At 41.5% G+C, this 10,197-nt stretch overlaps 1 pseudogene; it reads right to left on the bottom strand.

The window, feature by feature from the left end:
• On the bottom strand, window positions 1–473 carry RPL23AP47 (ribosomal protein L23a pseudogene 47; annotated as a pseudogene).

Raw genomic sequence — 10,197 nt, 5'->3', positions numbered from 1 at the left:
GATCCCAATTTTGTTACAACATCGAAAGCATCATAATCAGGAGCAAGTCGAACATATGCCTTGTTCTCTTTATCAGGACAAATCAGGGTGGTGACCTTGGCCACATCACTGTCATAGAGCTTCTTCACAGCCTGTCTGATCTGGTGCTTGTTGGCTTTAACATCCACAGTGAACACAAGCGTGTTGTTTTCTTCTATCTTCTTCCGGCCGACTCAGTGGTCAGCGGAAACTTGATGATAGCATAGTGGCCAAGCTTGTTTCTCCTGGGGGTGCTCTTCCGAGGATATCTGGGCTGCCTCCGGAGTCGCAGTGTCTTGGGCCGCCTGAAGGTGGGTGACATGCGGATCTTCTTTTTTGCGTGTGGCTGCGGACACCTTTCAACACTGCCTTCTTGGCCTTTAAAACCTTCACTTTGGCTTCGGCTTTAGGAGGAGCAGGAGCTTCCTTCGCTTTCGGTGCCGTCTTGTGAAAAGCGAAAAACATTATTTCAAAAATAATTTGTCTACAGTAAATCTGCCTAAGAATAGTTTCCAAAGTACTTTTGGTAATTTTTAACCTTAAAGTTAAGCTAAGTAAAAGATTTGCATTAAATATCTAGACCATTTATAAATAAGATACAATACTAAAACATTAATTACTGAACATAAATAATTCAAGTTTATATACTTTTGGCTTCCTGTTTTTACAGAGAGACTAAAGATATTTTGGCCCGTTAATAAACATGTTTTTTTCTGCCACACTGAGGAATTGTATTATGAGGAAACACATCCCTCTAGATGTTGGGAGATGGTATATTCATACATTTTCTAACCTACTATAGAATGCTAATATATGACAGTTTATAACTGTCTACTTCCTAGTTTTCTCTGGAAAATAAAAGATTACTAAGTATTAAAATTATAATCAATATATGTAAATAAAACTACTAGAAATAATAGAATAACTAGAAACAACTCTATGCAAAGCATGCAAGAAAAGTAGGGCATGTTTCGCAAGTAAAGTAGGTTGCATTTTTTATAAGGAAAACCATACAGAAGATACAAATAAAAAGAGATACCTAACCTTCCCTGTGTTATATTTGTATGGGTAAAATGTTATGTTTTCAGAAATTATATAAAATTCCTGGAAGTTTGTCAATGTCCTCCTTATCCATGCTATGTGCCACTATAGAGTAATGAGTCATAATTCCAATTATTACTTTAAATGTTGTGCCAGGCACAGTGGCTCATGCCTATAATCCCAGCACTTTAGGAGGCTGAGGCAGGTGGATCACAAGGTCAGGAGATCCAGACCATCCTGGCTAACTCGGTGAATCTCCATCTCTATTAAAAATATAAAAAATTAGCCGGGCGTGATGGCAGGCACCTGTAGTCCCAGCTACTCGGGAGGCTGAGGCAGGAGAATGGCGTGAACCCAGGAGACAGAGCTTGCAGTGAGCCGAGATCGCACCGCTGCACTCCAGCCTGGGCGACAGAGCAAGACTCTGTCTCTAAATAAATAAATAAATAAATGTTGTCTGCCACAGAAAAAATCGAATATTTTGGTAGAAACCCCGTCTCTACCAAAAATACAAAAATTAGATGGGCATGACGGCATGTGCCTGTAGTCCCAGGTAATCAGGAGGCTGAGGAGGGAGGATCGTTTGCACCCAGGAGGTAGAGGTTGCAGTGAGCTGACATTGCACCTTTGCACTCCAGCCTGGGCGACAGAGCCAGACCCTGTCTCAAAAAAAAATTTTTTAAAGGAAAACTATAGCCATTGAGAGTTATCAGATTCTAGTCTTGTTTCTTGTTTCTGGGCTATTTTTACCTCTTTGTAAACTGGATCCTGCCATCTGATGAATTTTGTCCCACAATGATACTTGGGGAACAAGAAGCCAAGTATTGTCTCTCCTACTAATGTATCTATTGTCAGTTAATTTGAAGGTCTCCAACCCTGGAACAAAGTTAGAAGAGGAAGGTTCTACTCCCCAAAATGCATAACCAAATTGTGCTACATTCATGTAATGGAATACTATTTAGCCATAGAAAGGAACAAGATATCAACACACACAAAGACATGAGTGAATCTTGCATGCACATTGCTAAGTGGAAGAAGACAGTCTGAGGAGGATACACACAGTGTGACCTCATTTAATGAGACACTGGGGAAGGCAAACTACACAGATGGGAAGCCATTGGCTCCATGGGGTGGGGGTTTGAGGCATTCCATATGATACTTTAATAGTGGGATATCTGCCACAATGCATTTGTCGAAATATGCAGAATTTTACAGCCAAATGGTTAAAGCAAACTCTATTCAAATTAAATCAAATTACTCAGGATGTGGAGTATCCCAGGACAGAATACATCATGTGAAAAAGAATTTATGCTACAAATTACGATGGTTTGGATGTGGTTTGTCCCCACAAAAACTCATGTTGAAATTTGACTCCCACTGCGTCAGTGTGGGGCGGTGGGGCCTAGTGGACGGTGTTTGGGTCATGGGGACGGATCCCTCATGAATAGATTAATGTCCTCCATGGGGGTGAGTGAGTTCTGTTCTCACAGGAATAGATAATTCCTGCAGGAGCAGGTAATTAAAAAGAGTCTGGCTTCCTTGGCTTCCCTCTTGCTTTCACTTCTGCTATGTGATCTCTGGTGCACCCCTTGCTCCCCTTCCACTTTCCACCATGAGGTGAAAAAGACTGAGGCCCCGCCAGATGCAACTGCCCAATCTCAGACATTCCAGCCACCAGTATTGTGAACCAAATGAAACTGTTTTACTTATAAATTACGCAGCCTCAGGTATTCTGTTACAGAAGCACAAAATGGACTAAGACACAAATCTAGGTAAAAACTTTGAAAATGAATAGAATCTGTAGGCTGAAGGCACATGAACTATACTTCATTATTGGATTCCATTTTATAAAGTTCTTTCCAACAGAAGTAATTGTGAACAATTGTAAAACCACAGTGTCTGTATCTGGAGTAAAACAATGACTTACATAAGTCGCAGATGGTGGGAACCAGCTTTCTCACTGTTGAAGTGGGAGGTTACAAATTAGCAAGACGAGAAGGCTAGAATGATTCCTGTGATAGTAGATCAGAGGTGGAGACATCAACGTAAACTTATGCTTAGTTTAATATAGATACACACAGTTCTACATAGAAAACTTTATAATTAGGTGTGTGTAGGTAGGTTAGACACGCACATATGCTTCCTAGCATTGCTAATGAGGGACAAGATACAATGTGCATTCAGCAGCCACATGTAAGTTTTCCCACCATTCTGAAAGGAATCAGGCTCTTTGAAGAAATGTCTGATACTAGAACTGGGACAGTAAATATAGGAGCCAGGATAATCTGGAAGTATCAGAAAGTAAGTACTAAAAAAATTAAAATATATCAAACAAAAATAAAAGCCAATAAAAACAGCTACCGATGGCCAACACAGGAAGGAATTGTGCAACATAATGCTATAGTGTCGAATAATAACTAAAGCTTAAAGTAATTATCTAGGTGTCTGTATTTGTATACCTAGGTGAATAAGCAAATGGAGTTGCATAGAAATCTCCTTTGCAAAAGAATTCCAAATAACTGATGTAGACACTCAGCCATCAAGAAGGTGGAGCCAACTCCTCACTCCGTAAGTGTGGGCTCTGCATAGTGACTTGCTCCAAAAGAACACATGCAGTATGGACAAGGAGGAAAAATAACTTCACAGTGGAGAAATCTGACAAACAGTAGCTCTGCCAAATGATCCAAGTGAACATCAAAGCTGACAGTTCACCTTGAGAACATGAAGTGACAATGGGGGACATTCTACAAAAATCCTGACCAATCCTCCTCAGTGCTATGAAGGTCATCATGAGATGGAAAGCCTGACACACTGTCACAGCCAGGAAGAGCCTATGTGATGACTACATGTCATGCGGGATCCTGGATGGGATCCTGGGTCAGAGTAAGATAGAACTAAGGGAATCCAAATGAAATATGAACTTTAGTTAATAACAGTCTATCAGTATTGGTTCATTAACTGTGGCAAATTATGTAAGATATTAATAAGCCATGTGAGACACACTGATAGAATATGTTAATAAGAGAGGAAACTAGGTTGCGGCTACATGGGAAATCTCTGCTTTTTTTTTTTTTTTGACGATTTCTGTGTAAGTAAAAAAAAGACGTAAAATAAAACTTTATTTAAAACACTTTTTTAACACTTCCTTGTTTAATTATTTATACCATGAATTACTAGTAATTGACACTGTTAACTAGTCCTGTTTTTTAAAATAAGAGCAATTATGACACAAAAAATTAAACAGTGCAGACTGATATATAAATCAAAACAAATGTCCTTTACATGTTTTCTGTTACAGTAGTAACAATATGTGTAAACTTAATTATCATATTTTTTTCTTGTGCTGTGGTTGTGTCCTGGGTTCATTCTCTAAAATGCTGTTCACCTTAGACCAGGAAAAATATTAACCATACAGACTCTGTTTCAAGTCATAGCTGAATATTTTCAAAAGAGTGACTTTGTAAAAACATGTTCCAATGGCAAATTGATTCATTGTGATGGGATCAATTATTCCAAAGACTTCTTGTCTTTATTTTGTTCCCATGCCTACCTTTTAGCCATAATACAACAGAATCAAATATTGGCCACTGGGAAAAAATATTCAAAGAAAGAAAGAATGTGAACGGAACTTATGACCATGATGATTCAATGTTTTACCACAATGCTTTCTAAAACAAAAGAGTCTAAAAGGATATTCAAAGTCAATTTCCTCAGCGAGGATTTGCAGAAAATGAGGAAACTAGAAAAACAAAAATGGCAGGACATTCTACGGGTGATTTTAAATGTTGCTATGTTTTATGGGAAAAAATACTTTACCTTTTAAAGAATCACAAAGAATTATTGGAAACCCAAACTCTGGAATGTTTGCAAATTTAGTTGAGCTTCTATGTAATTATGTCTATATAGGTAGCCATGAAGTTGATGATTTCTTAAAAATCTGTGCCTTATTTGTGTAATAAAAGACACAATGAATAATTAATACTCATAGGAACACTTATGAAGGGAAAATAAATCTTGGGGACTCAAAATCACTAAGCTAAAGGGAAAAGTCAAGCTGGGAACTGCTTAGGGCAAACCCGCCTCCCATTCTATCCAAAGACACCCGTCTGATCACCTAGATAAATGCATACCTGATTGCCTCACGTGGAAAGGGTAATCAGCAATGCAAAAGAATGAAACCATTTGTCTCTTACCTACCTGTGACCTGGAAGCCCCCTGTCTGGCCTTCTCACCTTTCTGGACTGAACCAATGTACATCTTACACATATTGATTGATCTCTCGTGTCTCCCTAAAGTGTATAAAACCAAGCTGTGCCCCGACCACCTTGGGCCCATGTTGTCAGGATCTCCTGAGGAGGCATCACAGGTGCACATCCTCAAGATTGGCAAAATAAACTTTCTAAAAAATCTGAGAGCTGTCTCAGATTTTCAGGGTTCACACATGTAATGTAAGATGTCAAAGTTTATAAAAGGGATGTTATTCTATCTACTATTAGAAATATGCTGTCAATTAACCTTAAACTTTCTCAACAAAATAAAAAATGATGAGATACAAATAATGTATCTAAGCTTAAATAGTGTTGCAGGTTTTAATATGCCTACTTTTCAATTTTTCAATACTATCTTTACTAATTTAACACTGTAAGAAAAATGAGTAATTAAAACATGAATAAAAGTGTTTACAGGGGATGCACATGTTTCCTCCAGCCTCTGCCTATACCCAACTTTCATCCCAACTGTCCTGATGGTGGCTCTAAGCATTTCTCCTTTCTCTATACCAAGATCTCTCCCCAGAAACAAACCCAAATCTTACTATATGTTATGGCACGCTATGATGATGAGCAGCGATGAGCAGCCGAAGCCTCAAGGAAGGGATGCTTTTGTAAAACAAGACTTGTGGAATATAACATGTGAAAGTAAAGCCCACGGCAGAGCTCCCTCCTCAGCACACGGGGAGCAGACAGGATGTTTTTCCTCACCTTCCTCAATGGCCTGCAGCCACGTCTCCCCAGGTCAGTCTTAAGGACAACGAAACTCTGGTCTTCACTGTGGACACGCCACACTACCAGGTGCTCCAAAGCCATGGTGACCCACCCTCGGGTGGGTCCTGAGGAGAACAAAGCTCTGGTTCTAATCCTAACCCTAACCCTGTCCCAAGACTTTGACCCTGAACCTAAACCCTGATCCCTACCCTGGTCCCTAATTCTGACCCTGACTTTGATCTCGACCCTGACCATGACCCCACCTCTAACCATACTTCTGGCCCTGACTCTGACCCAGATCCTAATCCTATCCCTAACCCTATTATTATCTTTACAATCTATGTCTAATCTTACCCTCTAGTGCTAAATAGCTGTACCCAAAAGCACTTTTAAATTATTTAACTTCTTTTCCTTGAATTCTCTAAGGACATCCTAAAGGAGATGTCAATATGTATTTTGCATTCCCTCTGAGTGGTATGGCTTCAGATAAGAAGTTCTAATACTTTTCAAGACATAAAAAGTTTGGAGGGTGACAGCACTGGGTTGTTAGGGATGCATGTTGGCATTCGTGGTAGTCATAGGTGCTGTTCTCCAGATATTTTCAGTTCATATTTTATGAATGCATTCTGACTGTTCCATCCCGCCTACTTACATTTTCACATGGCCACATGACTTTTTTTTTGCCAATGGAGGTGAGAAGAAATAACATGTGACTTTTTCAGGAGAAATCTCCAAGAAACAGAGTTCTATTCCGCATACTTTTTTCTCTTTTCTATAGCAATGGGGATCTTATTGATTGTCCCTCCTTCCGTCTGGATCCCTGTGTTAGGATGACACAGCACAGAGCTACCTCTCACCTGACCCATGATGAAATGTAAATAAATGAGGAAGAAGATTTTTGAGCCACTGAAATTTGGAGGTTGTTTGTCACCACAGTTTAACCTAGCCCCCATTTACTGATGCACGGCTGAAGAATGAGTCCGAACTGGATCTGGACAAGACATGTGAAGAGCGCTCCAGGCTGAGTAAAATTCAAGTGTTGTCTCAAAGATAACACTGAGCACGATATGTTATTGGGGTGGGTGTGGGATAAATAAGGTATATCAGGTGAGAATAACAAGAAACTCAACTTTAAAAGACGGTGCCGATTTGGAAGACACCAAATTGGAAGACAGCAGGAGCTGCCCCATAATACCAGTAAAGTGAGAAGCAGAGATAAACTAGTCCTAGACAGCTGACTCATGTTGGGGGCAGCCCACTCACAGTGGCCCTGACCCAACTCTGACTAGAGGCCACTTGCTCTCAACACCAGGGTGCTCAATGGCCCGTCCTGGTACTCTGCTCTACACTGGTTGTAGGAAGGAATCTACAGGTTGAAATAAGGAGATCATTTCCCTGAGGTTCCGAAGCTCATATTTACTCACCATTTGTTGTTTACTGCTAATATTGAGCACTGTCAGTAAAATACATAAAACCCTTTGCCAATCCAGGAAGTGAAAATGACACTTTACTGTTTTAGTTTGCATTTCTCTGCTTACAAGTGGATTACACACATTTTCATGTGCTGTTGGCTACTTATTCATTCATAAAACATACTAAGTGCTGGCTCTTTTTCATGTCCTTTATCAAGTTTGGATCATGTCATTTGCTATTTTCTTTCTGATGTAAACTCTCAAAGTCTGAAGGGTATTGTCTTTTCCTGACACATATGTTGTAAATAATTTTCTGGCTTACATTTTGACTTTTAATTTCATTCACGATGTTTTTAATGAATAATTTTAATTATTATGAATGCAAGTTAAAATAATTCTTTCATTGTGGTTTCTGACATGTCATGCCAATAAGGGTCTTCTCCTCCAAGAGCACAGAAATATTTGCCAATACTGTCCTTAAAATCGGTCACAGTTTCATTTTTTATATATGCATTTTACTTCAATTGGGGCTTCATTTTACTGAATGCCCTATTTGAAGCAAGTTTCTCAGTTAATTCTTTTCTCAAAGGGCTAAGTATGGTAGATTGCAAACATAAGTGGCCACATAATGCTCTCACCTCCTTTGCCTCCTCTCCCAGGAGGAGATAGCATCCATCTTTCCACTCCTTAATCTGGGCTTGGCCGTGTGACTTGCACTGGCCAATGGGATATTAACAAGTCTGATGTGCACAGAGGCTGTAGAATGTGCACGGGGGCTTGGTCTCTCTTGCTGCCCTAGAGACCAGCTGCCCCACGAAGGAACCAGAGCCAACCTGCTGCTTCCTGGAGGAAGACAGTCCCTCTGTCCCTCTGTCTCTGCCAACCAGTTAACCTGCTGCTTCCTGGAGGAAGACAGTCCCTCTGTCCCTCTGTCTCTGCCAACCAGTTAACCTGCTGCTTCCTGGAGGAAGACAGTCACTCTGTCTCTGCCAACCCAGCTGACCGCAGACATGCAGGTCTGCTCAGGTAAGACCAGCACAGTCCCTGCCCTGTGAGCCAAACCAAATGGTCCAGCCACAGAATCGTGAGCAAATAAGTGATGCTTAAGTCACTAAGATTTGGGCAAAAGCTGAGCATTTATCCCAATCCCAATACTGTTTGTCCTTCTGTCTATCTGTCTGTTCTTCCCTGCTCATTTAAAATGCCCCCACTGCATCTAGTACATTTTTATAGGATCAGGGATCTGCTCTTGGATTAATATTGTGTTCCCACCTCGAGGCAGCTTTGTAAGCTTCTGAGCACTTCCCAATTCCGGGTGACTTCAGGCGCTGGGAGGCCTGTGCATCAGCTGCTGCTGTCTGTAGCTGACTTCCTTCACCCCTCTGCTGTCCTCAGCTCCTTCACCCCTGGGCCTCAGGAAATCAATGTCATGCTGACATCACTCTAGATCTAAAAGTTGGGTTCTTGGACCAGGCGTGGTGGCTCACACCTGTAATCCCAGCACTTTGGGAGGCCGAGGCGGGTGGATCACAAGGTCAGGAGATCAAGACGATTCTGGCTAACATGGTGAAACCCCGTCTCTACTAAAAATACAAAAAAATTAGCCGGGTGTGGTGGCGGGCGCCTGTAGTCCCAGCTACTCAGGAGGCTGAGGCAGGAGAATGGCGTGAACCTGGGAGGTGGAGCTTGCAGTGAGCCAAGATCACACCACTGCACTCCAGAATGGGAGAGAGAGTGAGACTTTCTCAAAAAAAAAAAAAAAAACTTAGGTTCTTGGATGTTCGGGAAAGGGGGTTCTTTATCTAGGATCCTTGAAGCGCCCCCAAGGGCATCTTCTCAAAGTTGGATGTGTGCATTTTCCTGAGAGGAAAGCTTTCCCACATTATACAGCTTCTGAAAGGGTTGCTTGACCCACCACAGATGTGAAGCTGAGGCTGAAGGAGACTGATGTGGTTTCTCCTCAGTTTCTCTGTGCGGCACCAGGTGGCAGCAGAGGTCAGCAAGGCAAACCCGAGCCCGGGGATGCGGAGTGGGGGCAGCTACGTCCTCTCTTGAGCTACAGCAGATTCACTCTGTTCTGTTTCATTGTTGCTTAGTTTGCGTTTTGTTTCTCCAACTTTGTGCCTCATCAGGAAAAGCTTTGGATCACAATTCCCAGTGCTGAAGAAAAGGCCAAACTCTGGAAAAAATTTTGAATATTTTGAGCCAAATGTGAGGACCACAACCTGTGAGAACGGAAAATAAATCCTGGGACCCCAGACTCACTAAGCCAAAGGGAAAAGCCAAGCTGGGAACTGGCTTATGCAAACCTGCTTCCCATCTGGTTCCTAAATAAGATAGCTATTACACAAAGATAAAAAAGCTACATCCCTGCCTCTACCTCCATCGCATGTAAAATGTGTATTCAGTGAACACTGACCAAAGACAGAAGAATGCAACCATTTGCCTCTGATTTACCCACACCCATTTTTTCCACTTCTTCCCCTTTCCCCAATACCCGCACTTTTCCCCTTTACTTACTGAGGCCCCCAGACAATCTTTGGGAAAAGCACGGACCACAGTTTTTCCTGTGGTTCTCTGTTCTTTTCTCAGGTGTGTCCTTAACCTTGCAAATAGATTTCTTGAAATGATTGACACTCACCTTGGTTGTGTTCTTTGATCAGCGCCTGTGACGCAGCTTCAGGAGGTCCTGAGAACGTGTGCACAGTTTAGTCGGCAGAAACTTAGGGAAACGTAAGACCACC

The sequence above is a fragment of the Homo sapiens genome, chromosome 6, assembly GCF_000001405.40.
Source record: "Homo sapiens chromosome 6, GRCh38.p14 Primary Assembly".
Lineage (NCBI taxonomy): Eukaryota > Metazoa > Chordata > Mammalia > Primates > Hominidae > Homo > Homo sapiens.
The sequence above is the reverse complement of the archived record's forward strand: the minus strand, read 5'-3'. Positions and strand labels throughout refer to the sequence as shown.